Here is a 17,026-nt window from a genome sequence, read left to right on the forward strand (position 1 = left end):
CCCAGGAGGGCAAAAGGCCTGAGGAGTGGGGCTGCAGTCAGGCTCCTGCTGCATGTTTGGGCTGGGACTGGCTCACCAAGGACGCTTTTCCACCTTGGATCCATTCCTGTGATCCTCCCAACCTCAGTGTGGCCTCAGGGCCCATATCCAAGCCTGTCTCAGGGGGCTCTCCCCAGGACACTCTGCAGTGAAGATCGAAACGGAAATGGGACCTAGCAACCTTGCCCAGGCCTCTCTGGGCCTCCACGAAGTACAAAGAGGAGCCCCAAGGAGCGTCTCACTTTGACCTAGTTTCTCTCCTTATCTGACGTGACTCCCTGCAGTGACGTTTATCAGATGGAGAAGGACATTGCCATGGAGCAAGAGAGGAATGCTCGCTACCGAACCCCCAAAATCTTGGAGCCCACAGCCTTCCAGGAACCCCCACCCAAGGTAAGCCAAGCCATGGCCTCATAAGTCCTGTGAGTCAAAGCAAAGCCAGGTCCCTGTCTGATCCATGTCCCCCTTACTGCACAGGCAGGATGCCCCCTACAGCCCTTTCTCAGTCCTTCACCCAGCATCCACCATCACTGTCAGCGTGTCACATCAGTGCCCTGGCAGGTGGACTTGGAGATAGCAGCCACCTTGTGGGATAGCTGGGTCAAGAATCATTCCTCAAAAGTGTCCCCTGAGGGGCTGGGCTTCTCTTCTAGGTGTTTTCTTAGGAACAAATGAGATCCCCCTGAGGACACATGGGTGGGAAGTATCCTGGGTCTTTTAGGTCCAGTCCCTACATCTATACCCCGCATGGCCACCCTGAGCTCAGGAGCCAGGGCCCTGCTGCCATTAGGTGGGTGGGTCTGAGAGGCCGTGCCTGTCTTAGTCAACTGGAGCTGCTGCAACAAAAGACCACAGACCAAGTGGCTTAAACAGCAGATGTTTATCTCTCACAGTTCTGGAGGCTGGGAAGTCCAAGATCAAGGTGTTGGTGTCTTGTGAGGGCTCTCTGCCTGGCTTACAGACAACCACCTTCTCACTGTGTTTTTACCTGGCAGACACAGAGTGGTCTTTCTTTCTCTTCTTATAAGGGCTCCATCCTCATAACCTCATCTAACCCTAATTACCTCCAAAAACCTGCACTTCCTTAATGCTATCACATTGGGGGTTCAGGCTTCAACATGCAAATTGAAAAGGGGGACAAATATTCAGTCCATAACAATGTCTGATCCCATCTAAGGCCTTTTCTCACTTGTCCCTCTTGCCTGGCATGTCCCACCCCTCCCCGCGGGCCTGGCTCAGCGTTCATCTCCTCCATGCAGCTTCTGTGAATGCCCAAGCCCCTGGTGAGCTCCTACCTCTGCATGCCTGTGGCTCTGGAGCTCTGACTTGGTGGGTGCTCCCACGTATAGGGAAGCAACACATGCACCAATCATTAACCCTCCAATTAGCCATAGCCCCGGGAGGGCAGTGAGGTGGCTTCTTTGTACCTTCCACCACTCAGTAGATAATCAGTGCTCAATAAATGGATGCAAAATGAGTTTCATGACAGCTTTGTCCCTCAACTTTCCTTCCTTTGGAACAAGCCTGAGGTGTCTTTGACCTGATGTTCCCCTTGGTGAGTTGTGTTCACTCAAGGAGAGGGACAGAGACTGACCCATCTGTGTTCTCTCTCCAGCCCAGCCGACCTAAGTACAGACCCCCTCCGCAAACCAACCTCCTGGCTCCAAAGCTGCAGTTCCAGGTAAAGATAGAACCAGAGGACGGGAACTTCAGGTCTACCTCTCATCCAGGTCCTGAAACTCCATTCTTGTGCCTTAGAGGAGCAGCAGTCACCCACTTGGGTGATGGAGATGGCCTAGGTTGACTCTTCTTTGGCACCCAGAACAGAATGCAGACTCAGATCACAAGAATTAAAATGCAGTTCTCCCAGGCTGTGCTCAGCTAAGACCTGCCTTAAGCCCCATCCCTCTGTCTACATCATCTGCTGCTTTGTGTGCCTGCCTGCTGCTCTCTCCCCACATCTAAGGCCTCCCTGGCCTCCTTACCAGAAGGAATCCCAGGGAATATTTCCCAACAAATGGAGTAGCTCCATGGGACTCCCCAAAGAGGCCCCATCCAGAACCTGGGTGGCCATTGAAGAGACAGCAGGGTTTTACCTGAGCTTTCTCCCAGCTCCATTATCCCCAACCATGACTCTTTCCCAGGCTGTGCGTCCCTGACCCTGAATGTCTCTGTTCTGTGTCTCTCTTGCCTCTAGGAGAGAGGGAGTCCAGTCTCCTCTTATTTCTTCTCTTGCATCCCCCAGCTCAGAGCCACTGCTCAAAAATTGATCCCCTCAACCACCAGAAATAATGTCCATTTAGTTGGTGCCCTTTATAGAAAGGTGGTGTCCCATGGTCCTATATTTGTTCTCAAGGAAATGCCTGAGTGCCAAAACAAGACCATCTAAGGACTAATAGATAAATCCTCTTCACGTGAAGAGAAAGCCTGATTCAGAAGATGGAAAAATCGTTCTGAAAAAAAAGAGATATACCCATGTGCAATATTTAAAACAGGGAGTTAGGTAGGGTGGAACACACCTGTAGTCCCAGCTACTAAGGAGGGTGAGATGGGAGGATTCATTGAGCTCAGGAGTTTGAGACCAGCCTGGGCAATATAGTGAGACCCCATCTCTAAAAACAAATAGTAATACAATAAAATTGTGATATACTTATTTTTTAATTAAAAAAAATTCAAGGCAGGCATGGTGGCATGCATCCGTAGTCCCAGCTATGTGGGAGGCTGAGGCAAGAGGATTACTTGAGGCCAAGAGTTTAAGGCTGCAGTGAGCTGTGATCATACCACTGCATCCCAGCCTGGGCAACAGAGCAAGAGCCTATCTGAATTTTTAAAAAACAATTCATACATATCTGTATAAATTGGTGTGTTAACCACATCAGTCAGTCTGTAATGCAACTGAAACAACTATTTTTTGAAGAGTCCTGAAGGAAGAGCCCTGGTCTCAGTGGGTCCGTAACCAGCATGGACCCCACTGTGTGCAGAGCATCTTGGGGGAATGTTGGATGAATGAGAGGCTGCACTGCTCCACCATCTCTCTCGGAGCAATGGAAGGCCCACGTTTTGTTCTTTATTAACTCCTGGAGAGCAAGCCCCATTCCCTGTGGTGCTCATGCATAGTTTCTTTGTGCTCGTGTTTGTAGCAGCTAATTGTCTACCTTCTCGCTTTGTCCCGTGCCTTGTGCTTCTTTGCTTTTCCTGAATAGGTTCCTGAGGGTCTGTGTGCCAGCTCTCCTACGCTCACCAGCCCTATGGAGTATCCATCTCCCGTTAACTCACTGCACACCCCACCTCTCCACCGGCACAATGTCTTCAAACGCCACAGCATGCGGGTAAGAGGGCTCTGCATGCTGGTCCCTGCCCGGACTGAGGAGGCTGCTGGAGGGAGGTGGCCGGGGACACTGGAAACCCCACGTCCTCAGCTCAGGAGGGCCCTTCCTGTTCCCATGCACCAGTCAGGCCACTGAGGTGGCACTCTGTGACTTCCTTCCCTTTGCAAACACATCAGAGGCTGGCAGCCACACCAGGCCCTGCTCTGGAGGACACCAGCTGGACCTAACCTGCCCTTGGCCATGCTGGTGCTATGGCTAGAGATGTACAAATCTCCCCCTCTCCTGAGCCCCAGGGGTAGGGGGATCTGTGGCAGCTTGGAGGCTCCTAGGCAGGGCACAGCACAGCTTAGTGGTGCTGGAGAGTATCCTTCCTAAATGATGGCTTTGGGTGTGAAATCTCTCCTCAGTCAAAGGAAAGGCTTTCTTGTGGCTGCTCCCCTTTCTGCTTTTGTTCAGGCTGCTGCTGGGTGAGAAGGAGTTTAGGGCTAGTGGGAATACAGCCTCATTAACTGGCTAGAGCAGGGACCTAAGCCACTTCCCTTGTCAGCTCTTTGTCACGGGGGGTTGTTAACTGCTGGTGAAGCCCGGAGTGCTTCATGGCTGGCTTCTGATTGTCAGGTCTTGTGTGAAAAAGACACTTTTGCTTATAACCAGATGCCCACTGGTCACCAACCACCTTCTTCCATACAAATGGCCCCTAGTGGTCAGTTGCCACGAACACTTGATCTATTTTACTAAACCAACTAAAACACTTATTTTAGCTCTAACTCTGCATGCATGCACAATATTTCAGGCTCACTAAACATGACTAAAATATTTTTTGAAAAAAATTAGATGTTTATCATAATATATTTGGAAGATGTAGGCAAGTATGCTGATATTACTTTCATGCCATTATGCTTAATTTAGTAGAATTTTGAAATGAGCATGATAACTTAGAATTCCAGACACTAAGATTTTTTGTGAAATCAATTTTCCTCTGACCTACCTCGTTTTTCTCTTTTATATTAATTTAACCAATTTCTGTCTTTGCGTGTGCTTAACAATAATAAACTACATTTTTAGGCATGTGCTATAATTTAGGCTGTGTTCGGTTTCTCCACCCTCCTGCCTTTGACTCTCTATTCATAAATGATTGTTTTAGTAAGTTTTGCTTTAAATTGTGTTATTTTAGAAAGAAGCTATTTTGCACATTTGAGGGGTAGCATTGCCTTCGTCCAATTTCCTGCTTCTCCACAAGGACCTTGTTCAGTTCCATAAAGAGATTGTGCAGTAGGAAAAAAGACCTTTTGTATCAGGGCTTTAGAAGTAATTGACATAAGGAAAATCTGCCTAAAAGAACATAATGAGCATGTCTTTAAATAAACAAACCCAAAAAAGTTAAAAATATAAGCTCCATTTTATGACACAGATCAGAAACACTGAGAAAGTCTCTTCCAGGTAGAATGCTGAGAAGGTATAATAGGCTCCTCACAAAGCATTTGGAAGCATTTAACAAAAATACAGAGGTGGTGTTCCCAGAAAAACAGTTTTTCTACTGAGTGGCTCTATAGCCTGACTCATCAGGGAGTCTGTGGGATGCCATACCAGCATTGGGATGGCAGCAGTCTCTCTCCTGAAGACCTCACAATTGAGCTTTAAAAATAATACAATTCAAGGCCAGGCGTGGTGGCTCACGCCTGTAATCCCAGCATTTTGGGAGGCCAAGGTGGGTGGATCACTTGATGTCAGGAGTCTGAGACCAGCCTGGCCATCATGGCAAAACCCCATCTGTACTAAAAATACAAAAAATTAGTCAGGCATGGTAGTGTGCACCTGTAATCCCAGCTACTCAGGAGGCTGAGGCAGGAGATCACTTGAACCTGGGAGGCAGAGGTTGCAGTGAGCTGAGATCACGCCACTGCACTCCAACCTGGGCAACAGAGCAAAACCCTGTCTCAAAAATAAAAATAAATAAAATAAAAATAATACAATTCAATAAACAGTAGGGCTTGCTGTGATTGCTGGACGCTGTCCTCGGTGCTGAAGGGGGGAGGCGCTGCTTTCAAAGCGCTTACAGTCGACCAGAAGGATCAGACCAGGTGCACACTTACCTGTAATGCAAGCCAGAAGGTCGTGGGTACCACAAAGTGGGAGTTCAGAGAGGAGGACAACCCTTTCCAGCTTCTATTTAAAAGTTGGGCCTTGAAAGATGGGAAAGATGTGGACAGGAGGAAACTGAGATTCAGGGAATGGAAGAGGCAGGGGCTTCAGTAGGAGGCAAGACTGAGTGGTGGGAAACCACAGGACAAGTGCAAGAACTGTTGGACTACAGCAGGAAGGGTACTTGTGGATGTGGAAATAAAGCCAACAGATGGGTCATAGCCAGATTATGGAAGGTGTCACAACTTACGAGAGTCATTTTAAAACACCATGAGTACCCAATTCCTTTTAAGAATAGAATGTAATGAGCAATGTAAGTATCCATTACCTAATAAGAATATTGGAGGCGCATTTCAGCAAAACCAACCTCAAAGAGATTCCATTTTTTTGAGTGTTCATTTTTCTCCTTGAGTTTTATTATGAAATTGGAAGGCATCAGGATGTCTCCTAATCTGTGTTTGTTAGAATATGTGGTACGATCAGGCCTGAGGCATGCTAGGCATTTTAGTGGTGGAATCTTCTGTCAACACTTATAAACTTACAAATACTTACAAATACTTGTAGAATTTTCTTGATTCTAGTAGCTCATCCAACTGGTACTTACCATACTCTTCCTTAACCCATACATTTTTCTCACATCCAGAAATCCCTAACTCTATATTTAGAACTTTTGACACTTAGTTCCTGTTTGTCACTATTTGTCAACAGCCTGGGGCAGCCATGCCATTGTGTCTGCAGGTGTTGACATTTAACTGGGGATTTTTATGGCCTTAAAATGTCCTCATTTTTGAGTATCAGCCTCTGATCAACAAAACCTATTTTATTTTTATCAATTCCATGATTATAAAATACTCTTATATGCTGGAATTTGTTTTCCTAAAATAAGGTCTAGCTCAGTGGTTCTCAGCTAAGTTATTTTCCCTCTGAGAGGACATTTGACAATGTCTGGCAGCATTTTTGTTACAACTGGGGTGGTGCTATAGGCATATATTGTGGGGAGGCCAGAGATGCTGCTAAGCATCGTACAATGCACAGGAAATTGCCCTGGAAATAAGGACTTGTCTGGCTCCAAATGTCAGTAGTGCTGAGGTTGAGGAGCCTTGGTCTGACTAGTATTTACTTAACCCCACGAGAATAAGAACATCGTATAGTTTAACATCACTGTCCTCCCAGCACCCAGCCCTGCCACATAGTAGTTGCTTAATAAATAATTGTTGAATAGATTAATGAATAAATATTTCAGCAAGAAACCTAACTCATGGGGAAACGTGTGATTAGAAATTGAGGTTAGTAATTGAAGCTCAGTGTGCACTAAGTAAAACATCCCAATATAACCACTTTTAGACCATATTGTAATATTCAAGTGTGTTTTGTAGGGCTTAGTGAGGAAACTCTTTTAAGAGGCTTGGTAGGAATTATTGCTTGCTAAAAGTAGATAGAGATAATTGTTAGCATCTTCTGCAAGTGACCTGTATGCAAATGGCCACTTCAAAGGCAAGGAACTGAGGGACCTGCCAGCTTAGATGTCACAGAAGAATCCTGCCCTAGCAAAGGCAACTCCTGGGCTTTGTGCAATCAAGAGGATGCCAATAATATTCCTCCTCCATCTGTCCAGGAGGCCAGGGTCCCCATGTGCAGCACAACAAGAGCAAAATAGTTTAGAGACACTGAGCAGATATTTATACAAATGAACCGTGGGGGAAGACTGAATGAAAATAGGAAGACATGCAATACTTTCTGTTTAGGAACTAGCAGCTAAAATTATGAATAGGTCCAAAGCCCCAGAGGTAAGTTAAAGCAAGAGTTAGATTACTAGATCTAGGGAGAGGAAGCATTTATCTTCTCTCTATCAAACTATATTTCTTTGAATTTTGTTTTTCATTTTATCTATTAGTTCATGAATTTCTTCTAATCATTGGTTAAATAACTCAAGCTATGATTGCATTTATCTTATCTCTATAGAGCTGTATTTCATGAAATTTTGTTCCTTATTTTATCTCTTAGCTCATGCATTTCTCCTAACATTTAGTTAAATAACCCAAGCTATTATCTTAATAAAGAATGTGTCTTAATAGGAAGGCATGGTTGGTGGGTGCATGCTGTTGCTTGTTCTCTCAGGCTCTGCTCATTCATGGACACACGTGGGACTGCACACCGTGAGGCTAGAGGCAGCACCCCTGTCTCTCGAAGCTTCCAGACCTGCCACCTTGGTCCTTAGGTGGAGATAGCATCAGAAGGGTGTGATGCTCTCCAACTAAGCAAAGCCAGCCCCTTGGAAACCCTTTGGATGCTTTTAGTAGATTTTAAAATAGATTTTAATAGACTTTAATAGCTTTTCTTTTTAAAATATATTAAATGACAACAACCATCACAAACACTGAGATAATAGTAGGGCAGTCACTTGGTAAAATATCATGAGCAGATCGTGTAATCATTTGAATACAGCGCACGTTGAGCAGTGGGTTCTTGGGTTTGGTATCACATTGCAACGCAGATACATGCTCGGGGCTGATACTGGATAGCTGTCTGCACATATAGCTCTGGGTTTAAGAACAAACTTATGAGAAAAAAGCAGCTGGCCAGGCCAAGGCTTGCAGCTGCCATGAGGTTCTTCAGAGGACTGTCCCTCCCTGAGTCTGAGAGCAGGGCTCATTGCATCCTCTCCCTTCTCTCTGCCGTCCTCCCAGGAGGAGGACTTCATCCAACCCAGCAGCCGAGAAGAGGCCCAGCAGCTGTGGGAGGCTGAAAAGGTCAAAATGCGGCAAATCCTGGACAAACAGCAGAAGCAGATGGTGGAGGACTACCAGTGGCTCAGGCAGGAGGAGAAGTCCCTGGTGAGCACCCCAGGAAGGATGTCGGTGCCCTGCACCCATCTGTGTCCTCTTCCACCTCCCCAGGTGGCTGGGGCAAGGGTCCCCTGCATTCTTGGTGCTTTCAGCTCCAGAATTCTTAGTCCTTCGCTCTTGTTTCTTCCTCTGCAGGACCCCATGGTTTATATGAATGATAAGTCCCCATTGGTGAGTTGCCAGGAGAGGCCGCCTCCTCCATGCCAAGGCCTGGGAAGGCCTCGCCCACCATAGGACCCCCCGCCCAACTTGCTCCTACCCCCAGGCCTGCCCAGCTCCTCCTCAATGGCTTTCCATGTTGGGAGGGTGTCTTTTCCTTTTCTGCCAATCCCTACATGGCCCTTTTCCTGAACTCTCCTGTGATCGTGCCCTTAGTGCTGTCTGTGGCCCTCCCCAGGGCCCCTCGGCCTCCCAGAAAGGTCACATTGGGTCACGAGCTGCTCCCAGAAGCACCCCCGACCCCATGGCTGTAATCTCTAAACACACAGTGGAGGGACTGGGGAATGGGTAACCAGGGAGGGGGTTGTCTCCACAGCCGCATGAGTGACGTTCCTGTTCTCTTTCCTCCTTCCTCCAGACGCCAGAGAAGGAGGTCGGCTACCGTGAGTGTTCCCGCCCTTCTTCGGGGGGTTTCCTCTTGGCACCTTGTGCAGAGCCACCATCCTTGCCCACCGCCCAGGGCAGGGAGCAGCGGAGTCTGTCTGCATTCCCTGCAGCATCGGCCATGATTTAATTCAGAGCATGTGGGGCAGGCCAGCTTCCCCTCCGCTCCCTCCACCCCATTCCTCTCCCTGCCTAGCACCCTGCCCTTCTCTCTCTCAGTGGCCACATCCTTAGGCCCCTCCTCAGATCATCCCCCTCCTGCATTAGTTTGGAGGAGCTGGAAATTCTCTCTTCCTCATTTCCTGCTCTGTTGGAAGCTCCCGTGGGAAAAGTTAAGCAGTGCCACCTGCCTGTCCCAGTTCAGATTCATCTTCTGTAGGCCTGAGGGACAGAGGAGAGAAAGTGAGAGGGGCAGCTGAGCCCTCAGGCTCTCTCCAGAAGACCCTGTTGCAGGCAGGGAGGGAAGAGCCAGCAGTAAGCCCGGGGCCTGGAGGGGTGGCATTGAGGAGGAGGATGATGACAGCCATCACAGAGAACTGGACACAAGTCAGGCATGGGCCTGGGACCATTTATTATCTTCTGAGGCACAGGGTGATTAGGTAACTTGTCCAAATTCACACAGCTAATAATTGGCAAAGTTCAGATTTGAACCCAAGCCTTCTGACTTTAGGGTCCCTTCTGAGCTCACCCTCTTATCTTACAAATGAAAATTAAGGCTCGGAATGTGAGCTGCCTAGAGTGGTCACAGAGCTCTTTGGCGGCAGAGGTGAGAATAGAAGGCCAGGTGTGGTGGCTCACACCTGTAATCCCAGCACTTTGGGAGGCTGAGGTGGGAGGGTCACTTGATCCCAGGAGTTTGAGACTGGCTTGGGCAACATAGCAAGACCCCATCTCTACAAAAGATTAAGAAAATTAGGCCTGGTGATGCATGCCTGCAAGCCCAGCGGCTCAGGAGGCCGAGGCAGGAGGATTGCCTGAGCCTAGAAGGTGAGGCTACAGTGAGCTGTGATCACGCCACTGTGCTCCAGCCTCGGTGCAAGCCCTGCCTCAAAAAAAAAAAAAAAAAAGAACAAAGTGTGCTGAGTGGACTTTTATGTGTCTTTGCTCTTCAAAGTGGGAGTGAATAGCATGTTTCTGCTGCAATTTTGCTTCCTTCAGCCCCAAACACTCTGGGAAAACCATTAGAGAATCCACACAAATTTACCCCATGAGCTGCTGTCTCCCCAGGTCAGGGGCACCACAGACACCTGCTGGCATCAGAGAGAGAGGTTTCTTCCTTTCAGATCACCCAGTACTGTTCCTTAGGCCTGGTGTCCATCAGGCAGGAAGCCCAAGCCAGAGCTGGGGCACCACTGCAATCCCCCCATCTTGCTGGGACTTTGCCTTTTTCTTCCTATAAAAGGGACAACAGTGCTGTCCCTGACTACTGCAAAACCAGGGAGACCAGGAGGTTCCTTCCCCTGCCCGCTTCCTGGATTCAGAGTTAATTTCCCTGAAGTCTCCTGGTGGTAGAGGGGAAGGGGCTCATTTGATGTCAGCAGGTACGAAGGGAAGGGTTGGAGTGCTGAGAACTGCCCCCCACTTGCTGTTCTTTTTATTGCAGTGGAGTTCACAGGGCCCCCACAGAAGCCCCCGAGGCTGGGCGCACAGGTATGTGTTGGCTCTGCTGAAACTGATAAATGAGAGTGGGGGTTGCACAAAACTGAAGACCATGGTCTATGAAAGATTCACAGTTCTCAGATAGAATCCAGTTCAGTGTCCTCATGATACAGATGAAGCCCGGGGTTAGGGGGCGGGTGGCGGGGTGCCTTGCCTAAGGCCACACAGCTAATTCATGAAAAAGCAAGAGGAAGAACCAATCTCCCACTCTCCATCCCCCTCCCAGACTTGGAGTAGAGCTCCCTGGTCCAGCTTCAGGGAAAGTGGTGTGGGCTGCTTCCCTCTTCTGAGCCTCCTCACTTGGTTTCCAGCATCCATTGTCCTTACAGCCATCTGGGGTGGTGCTGGCTTTCTTTCCTCTGGAACAGTGGTTCTCAGCCTTGGCTGTCCATTAAAATCACCCAAGGAGCTTTGAAACTCTCTGCATAGGCCAGGTGCCGTGGCTCACACCTGTAATCCCAGCACTCTGGGAGGCCACAGCAGGAGGATCGCTTGAGCCCAGGAATTCAAGACCAGCCTGGGCAATATAGCAAGAACCCATCTTTACTAAATTTTTTTAAAAAAGATTAGCTGGACTTGGTGGCACGCCTGCTACTCAGGAGACTGAGGCAGGAGGATTGCTTGAGCCCAGGAGGTCAAGGCATTAGTGAGCTATGACTGTGCCATTATACTCCAGCCTGGGCAACAGAATGAGATCCTGTCTCTTCAAAGAAAAAAAGCCTGCCTGCACCCTATGTCCAGGTGGTGGTTCTAATAGTCTGTTGTGAGGCTACCACTAGTATTCCGTTAAGGCTCCCTGGCTGGAAACTGCCCCAGAAGTGGACAGAGGCAATGCACCCCGGGACAGGGCACAATTATTCTAAAGAAGAGTCCTTTCCAATCGGGCTGGTGGTGGAGTTGGCCACAGTGGTGCCTGCCCAGGAAAGAATCATTCCGTGCCCCTGGCTCTCCCCAACTCACTGGCCACCTGCGTCTTCCCCTCAGTCCATCCAGCCCACAGCTAACCTGGACCGGACTGATGACCTGGTGTACCTCAATGTCATGGAGCTGGTGCGGGCCGTGCTGGAGCTCAAGAATGAGCTCTGTCAGCTGCCCCCCGAGGGCTACGTGGTGGTGGTGAAGGTGAGAGCAGGGCTGGGTTGGGGAGGTGGAGGCGGCTCAAGTCCGCCCTGGAAGGAAAGGGGACTGCGCTTCCTGTTGGCTGGCCCAGCAGATCCTCTTAGAGCAAGCTGGGCCAGGGGAATTGAGTCCCAGGCCACTCGCGGGGGACAAGCACCACCCCAGGAGAGCTCTTCCCAGGGGAAACCTGGCTCTCTCCAATAGCTAGGAGTGGCGGCCATCCTGCCCCTTTCTCCCCCCAGAATGTGGGGCTGACCCTGCGGAAGCTCATCGGGAGCGTGGATGATCTCCTGCCTTCCTTGCCGTCATCTTCACGGACAGAGGTGAGCGTCCCATTCCAGACAGCACCATAGGCTGTTGCTTTGCTCCTGCTTATGAGCCTCATTAGAGGCTCATGATGGCTGCCTGGGCAACCTCATGTCTGTCCACTGAGTCCCCACCAGGTGGGTTCTATGTGGCTTATCCATCAGCTACCACCAGAGGGCTGAGAGGGCACCCAGGGACCTGGCCAGAGGCTAGCAGGGATTTCCTAGTTCAGGTCTCCAGATGACGGCAGTGAATTCTTTCTGAGTTTATGCTAAAGGGGACACACCTTCCTTTCCCCCCTCCTATTATTGTTTATCTGGTTGCCTTGCCGTCTGTGTTAAGATTAACATGGATGTGTCATAGAAATATCACTTAAGGTTTCTTTATTTAATCTGATTTTCTTTATTTAAATAAGAAACAATCACTGAAAATCAAAACAAGAGTCTTGGTGCTCCATGAGATGGTTCCTGTAGTAGGGAGAGTAAAGGCCCCCAAAGATGTCCACATCCTAAGCCCTGGCACCTGAAAACATGCCACCTTCCATGGCAAAAGAGACTTTGCAAATGTGATAAAGTTAAGGACCTTGAGATTGGGAGATTGTTCTCAGTTATCAGACTGAGCCCAGTGTTGTCACAGGGATCCCAGGATCAGGGGTCCTGATCTTACAGGGATCTCTGTGACAACACTGGCTGGGTGTGGAAACTCACATCTATAATGCCAACCATTTGGGAGGCCAAGGCAGGTGAATTGCTTGAGCTCAGGAGTTTGAGACCAGCCTGGTCAACATGGCAAAACCATACAAAAATTAGCTGGGCGTGGTGGCCTGTGCCTATAGTCCCAGCTGCTCAGAAGGCTGAGGTGAGAGGATAGACTGAGCCTGGGAGGTGGAGGCTGCAGTGAGCCATGGTCATACCACTGCACTCCAGCCTGGGTAACAGCAACACCCTATCTCAAAATAATAAATAAAACAAGAGGGAGGCAGTGTGTGACAAGAGACACATGGTCAGGGTGACAGATGTGATGGATGAAGGAGGCCGCAGGCCAAGGAAGGCAGCAGCCTGTCAGAGCTGGAGAAGGCAAGTCTCCTCTGTAGCCTCCAGGGAGAACAAGCCCTGTGGCCACCTTGACTTTAGCCCAGTTGGACCCACTTCAGACTTTTGCCCTTCAGAACTATAAGACAATAAATCTGTGTTGTTTTGCGCCACTAAATTTCTGGTAATTTGTTGCCAAAGCCATAGGCACACAATACAGTGCCATGGGACGTTTGTTGGTTCTCCGTCTGGAGCCCTTTGATCCACTGCCTCCCAGCAGCCAGCCCTGCGGCACAGATGACTACCACATCCCACCACTGTCCCCACTGTCAGTGGCCACCCAAGGAAGGAGAAGGCAGGAGAGTTTGGGCCAATTTCTGGCCTCTCTCTCAGGGGCAGTGACAACACATACAGGAGCCCTAGGTGGGGCTGTGGGGCTGTCTTGTCTCATTTAAGAGCTCCTTACCCTTGGGATGCCAACCCATTCATTCATTCATTCATTCATCTACTTCATTTGTAAATACCTCTTGAGCACCAGCTATGAACAGGCACACCTCATTTTATTGCACTTTGCTTTAATTGCACTTCCCAGATATTTCATTTTTTACAAATTGAACATTTGTGGCAACCCTACAATGAGCAAGCCTATTGGTGCCATTTTTCTAACAGCACGTGCTCACTTTGTGTCTCTGTCACATTTTGGTAATTCTCACAATATTTCAAACTTTTTCATTATGATTATAACGGCTATGGTTGGTGATTGGTGATTGGTGATCAGCGATGTTAGTATTGTAATCGTTTTGAGGGGCCATCATAAACTGTGCCCACATAAGACTTATCAATAAATGTTGTGTGTGTTCTGACTGCTCCTCCGACCATGCATTTCCCTATCCTCTCCTTGGGCCTCCCTTTTCCCTGGGACACAACAATATTGAAATTAGGCCAATTAAGAACCCTACAGCGGTCTCTGCATGTTCAAGTAAAAGGAAGGGTCACCCACCTCTCACTTTAAATCAAAAGCTAGAAATGATTAAGCTGAGTGAGGAAGGCATGTTGAAAACCAAGACAGGCCAAAAGATAGGCCTCTTCTGCCAGTTAGCCACGTTGTGAATGCAAAGGAAAAGTTAGCTGCTCCAGTGAACACATGAATGATAAGAAAGTGAAACAGCCTTATTGCTGATATGGAGAAAGTTGGAGTGGTCTGGATAGAAGATCAAGCCAGCCACAACATCCCCTTATGCCAAAGCCTAATCCAGAGCAAGGCCTTCAATTCTATGAAGGCTGAGAGAGATTCAGGAAGTTGCAGAAGAAAAGTTGGAAGCTAGCAGAGGTTGGTTCATGAGGCTCAAGGAAAGAAATCACCTCTGTAACATAAAACTGAAGGTGAAGGAGCAAGTGCTGATGGAGAAGCTGCAGCAAGTTCTCTAGAAGACCCAGCTAAGATCATTGATGAAGATGGCTCCACTAAACCACAGATTTTTCAATGTAGATGAACAACTTTCTATTGGAAGCAGATGCCATCTAGGACTTTCATAGCTAGAGGAGAAGTCAATGCCTGTCTTCAAAGCTTCAAAGGACAGGCTGACTCTCTTGTTAGGGGCTAATGCCAGTTGAAGCCAGTGCTGATTGGCCATTCTGAAAATTTTAGGGCCCTTAGGAATTAGGCTAAATCTACTATTGAGGTTTACTACTCAGAAAAAAAAGACTATCTTCAAATATTACTACTCATTGACAGTGCATCTACTCAAGAGCTCAGATGGAGATATAGAAGGAGATTAATGTTTTCACTGCATCCATTCTGCAGCCCATGGATCAAGGAGTAATTTCTACTTTCAACTTCTATTATTTAAGAAATACATTTCTAAGGCCATAGCTGCCATAGATAATGATTTCTCTTATGGATCTGGCCAAAGTTCACTGAAAATATTTTGGAAAGGATTTACCATTCTAGATAATATTAGGAACATTTGTGATTCATGGGAAGAGGTCAAAATATCATTAACCATTTGGAAGAAGTTGATTCCAACCCTCATGGATGATTTTGAGGGGTTCAAGCCTTCAGTGGATGGCTGGGTGTGGTGGCTCACGCCTATAATCTCAGCACTATGGGAGGCCAAGGTCGGAGGATCACCTGAGGTCAGGAGTTCAAGACCAGCCTGGCCAACATGGTGAAACCCCATCTCTACTAAAAATACAAAAATTAGCCAGGCGTAATTGCAGGTGCCTGTAATCCCAGCTACTCGGGAGGCTGAGGCAGAAGAATTGTTTGAACCCAGGAGGCGGGCATTGCAGTGAGTTGAAATTGCACCACTGCACTCCATCCTGGGCAACAGGAACAAAACTCAGTCTCAAAAAAAAAAAAAAAAAAAAAAAGATCAGATTCGCATTTTAGAAAGTATGAGGTATGAGGGGATGTTTCCATGAAGGGACGGTCAGGCTGGGCTTACACAGGGTTGGCTGGGTTCTGAGATGTCTGTGATGTCAGTCCTTGCAGACCTGACTCGACCCTGCACGGGGTGTTGCATTCAGCCCTCTCCTAGGTCTGATTTGCTTCCAGGGAACTTCTGATTGCTTTGGCCAGCATGCAGGTGGACACCTCTGTGGCTTCCCTATCCTCCAAGCACAGACTTTGTGGCCTCTCAACCTGTCCTGTGTGATCTTCCTACAGATCGAGGGCACCCAGAAACTGCTCAACAAAGACCTGGCAGAGCTCATCAACAAGATGCGGCTGGCACAGCAGAACGCCGTGACCTCCCTAAGTGAGGAGTGCAAGAGGCAGATGCTGACGGCTTCACACACCCTGGCTGTGGACGCCAAGAACCTGCTCGACGCTGTGGACCAGGCCAAGGTTCTGGCCAATCTGGCCCACCCACCTGCAGAGTGACGGAGGGTGGGGGCCACCTGCCTGCGTCTTCCGCCCCTGCCTGCCATGTACCTCCCCTGCCTTGCTGTTGGTCATGTGGGTCTTCCAGGGGGAAGGCCAAGGGGAGTCACCTTCCCTTGCCACTTTGCACGACGCCCTCTCCCCACCCCTACCCCTGGCTGTACTGCTCAGGCTGCAGCTGGACAGAGGGGACTCTGGGCTATGGACACAGGGTGACGGTGACAAAGATGGCTCAGAGGGGGACTGCTGCTGCCTGGCCACTGCTCCCTAAGCCAGCCTGGTCCATGCAGGGGGCTCCTGGGGGTGGGGAGGTGTCACATGGTGCCCCTAGCTTTATATATGGACATGGCAGGCCGATTTGGGAACCAAGCTATTCCTTTCCCTTCCTCTTCGGCCCTCAGATGTCCCTTGATGCACAGAGAAGCTGGGGAGGAGCTTTGTTTTGGGGGTCAGGCAGCCAGTGAGATGAGGGATGGGCCTGGCATTCTTGTACAGTGTATATTGAAATTTATTTAATGTGAGTTTGGTCTGGACTGACAGCATGTGCCCTCCTGAGGGAGGACCTGGGGCACAGTCCAGGAACAAGCTAATTGGGAGTCCAGGCACAGGATGCTGTGTTGTCAACAAACCAAGCATCAGGGGGAAGAAGCAGAGAGATGCGGCCAAGATAGGACCTTGGGCCAAATCCGCTCTCTTCCTGCCCCTCTTTCTCTTTCTTCCTTTACTTTCCCTTGCTTTTCCCTCTTTTCTTACTCCTCCTCTTTCTCTCCCCAACCCCCATTCTCATCTGCACCCTTCTTTTCTCATGTGTTTGCATAAACATTCTTTTAACTTCTTTCTATTTGACTTGTGGTTGAATTAAAATTGTCCCATTTGCTTTGCGGTTTGTTTTGTTTGTTTGACCTGCCCTTTGGGGGATAATGGGGACTGTGAGCCAAGTCCTGGAAGAAACCTATTGTGTTCATGTTGGACAGAGATCAAGGGCTATCCAGCGCTGGTCATCAGCCAAGGAGGTTTGAATGGTGATATCCGGCAGTGGGTCAGGGGTGTGCGCTGGCCCTTTTGCCC

At 48.8% G+C, this 17,026-nt stretch overlaps 1 protein-coding gene across 43 annotated transcripts in view, besides 1 other annotated feature; it reads left to right on the top strand.

Annotated features, from left to right (window-relative positions):
* PTK2B (protein tyrosine kinase 2 beta) overlaps window positions 1-16,840 on the top strand; it is a 148,886-nt gene extending 132,046 nt beyond the window's left edge. For 27 of the 43 annotated variants that reach the window (XM_047421544.1, XM_047421545.1, XM_047421552.1 and 24 more), the window contains 10 exons: window positions 324-432; window positions 1,655-1,720; window positions 3,243-3,368; window positions 8,198-8,344; window positions 8,492-8,527; window positions 8,934-8,958; window positions 10,563-10,609; window positions 11,603-11,740; window positions 11,980-12,060; window positions 15,743-16,840. In XM_047421544.1, the coding sequence (XP_047277500.1) occupies window positions 324-432; window positions 1,655-1,720; window positions 3,243-3,368; window positions 8,198-8,344; window positions 8,492-8,527; window positions 8,934-8,958; window positions 10,563-10,609; window positions 11,603-11,740; window positions 11,980-12,060; window positions 15,743-15,958 (991 nt within the window). In that variant the 3' untranslated portion in view covers window positions 15,959-16,840. The remainder of the gene's footprint in view (window positions 1-323; window positions 433-1,654; window positions 1,721-3,242; window positions 3,369-8,197; window positions 8,345-8,491; window positions 8,528-8,933; window positions 8,959-10,562; window positions 10,610-11,602; window positions 11,741-11,979; window positions 12,061-15,742) is intronic. The other 16 variants (XM_047421557.1, XM_047421555.1, XM_047421563.1 and 13 more) reach the window with 4 other exon arrangements.
* Window positions 16,772-17,015: a silencer, noted in NCBI's record as "fragment chr8:27316840-27317083 (GRCh37/hg19 assembly coordinates)". NCBI's record gives its function as "represses an EF-1alpha promoter that drives an FKBP-Casp9 reporter gene in an ReSE screen in HepG2 liver carcinoma cells {active_cell/tissue: HepG2}" and the evidence as "EXISTENCE:reporter gene assay evidence [ECO:0000049][PMID:32094911]".

This window comes from Homo sapiens, chromosome 8, assembly GCF_000001405.40.
Source record: "Homo sapiens chromosome 8, GRCh38.p14 Primary Assembly".
NCBI classification, from domain to species: Eukaryota; Metazoa; Chordata; class Mammalia; order Primates; family Hominidae; genus Homo; species Homo sapiens.